The 1,627-nt window shown below is 47.8% G+C and overlaps 1 annotated feature.

Annotated features, from left to right (window-relative positions):
• Positions 515 to 1,085: an enhancer, noted in NCBI's record as "NANOG-H3K4me1 hESC enhancer chr13:53480206-53480776 (GRCh37/hg19 assembly coordinates)". NCBI's record gives its function as "activates a minimal SCP1, AML or CMV promoter by ChIP-STARR-seq in primed H9 embryonic stem cells {active_cell/tissue: H9 hESC(primed)}" and the evidence as "EXISTENCE:reporter gene assay evidence [ECO:0000049][PMID:30033119]".

The following is a 1,627-nucleotide window of genomic DNA, read 5'->3' on the forward strand; positions in this document are numbered from 1 at the left end:
TACAGGCCGATAGACATGCAGCAAGATCGGGTTGGCTGTGGGGCAGACACACTTTGGAGAATGTCGATCCCATTGCAATTATAGGACTGTTTGGTCACTGAGGAGTTCTATGGTAATTTATTCACATGCAAGAGTCCTGTCACTTAGCTATTTGTCTAGGGGAATCCATTGAGTGTTAGGATAATGGGTTGTGCCCTCCCAAATGACGAGAATAACACCTTAATGCATTTTAGGGAAGTAATGGATTTTATTGTGGGGTTTTGGTGGTGGCTGCAGTGGTGTTTGCTCCTTTCTCTCACATTTCCCTCTCTTCCCCTGAACACTTCTACTGCCTGCAGCCCAATGTAAAAAATGCCTGAACATCTAAATTCTTTTTCTTAATTATCCTCCTGAGGAAAGCAGGCCAAGCACCAGGGTGCAAAAAATTTAAACCATAAATAACAAGCTGAAAGGAAATAAAAGAAATGACACCAGAATAAACTAAGCTATTAACTGAAAGCTTTACATCACAGTCCTCCCTGGGCCTGAAAAAAAATCTAAAGGAAGGTGGTTAAGTATTTATTTCCCAAAGAATGTAATTATAATCTGCAGCAATTAAAAATGGATGAAGGAAACATTTCCTCATCATTTCCGGGGGGTACTTCAGACACCGGCGCAGGGAACATTTTGGAGAATGTAGTTCCACTGCTTCCCTGAGGTCAAGTGAAGCTGAGGGACACAGCTGGCTCCTGCCAGGGGCACTACTGCTGTCTGGGTCTAAGGGGTCGGAGCAGGGATGGGAGAATGGAGGTGAGCAAAATAATGGGTAGTGATCGATTTGCAAGATAAATGAGGGCTCCTCTCTGGACCCGCTGCATAATTGTTCCTTTCAACTCAGTACACCTGGTGTGAAGAACTCCAGTCACAACTGTAAACCTGCCAGGTTTCCAATTAGGGGCTTGAATTTCAATTTCCTGGATGCTCCCTTAATCTTGGGGATGGGGAGAAGTTGTGTGTGTGCTGCAACACAAAGCGCTGAAGGTGAGGGAAGGGACGGGGGCGGGGCGTGGGAAGTGGGGCTTCTGGCCAGGCTGACGCGTGAAGAACCGCACTCCCAGCCACTTTGAAGCCTGAGGAGTCCTGGTGTTGATCTCTCTTCTGCTTTGCCGAGGGAGCCAGTCCTGCTTTGGCAGCGAGGATACGCGGAGCCCCAGAGCATGTGTTGCCACAGGCGCACCCCTTCTAGTGATCTTGCAGTTTGTCTCCTGCCAGCCCCCACAATCTAGGGGCCGAACGGGGATAAGTGGGAAATAGTCAGAAGGTTCTGCTTTCTCATCCAGCTTAAAAAGAGTTAAGTGAGAAAAGCAAGGTGCAGGAAAGCGTGTATAAGAAGATCTCAGTTTTGTAAAACAGACCATGACAAGCTGCTCAAACTCCGCATGTGTACGTAAAGGGCTATACTGGATTACACACAGATGAAAATCTGGGACACAGGCTGAGTTCTTAAAACTTACTGCCGGGAGCGGTGGCTCACGCCTGTAATTCCAGCACTTGGGGAGGCCGAGGCGGGCTGATCACCTGAGGTCGGGAGTTTGAGACCAGCCTGACCAACGTGGAGAAACCCCGTCTCTACTAAAAATACAAAATT

Source organism: Homo sapiens, chromosome 13 (genome assembly GCF_000001405.40).
Source record: "Homo sapiens chromosome 13, GRCh38.p14 Primary Assembly".
In the NCBI taxonomy this organism is placed as follows: Eukaryota; Metazoa; Chordata; class Mammalia; order Primates; family Hominidae; genus Homo; species Homo sapiens.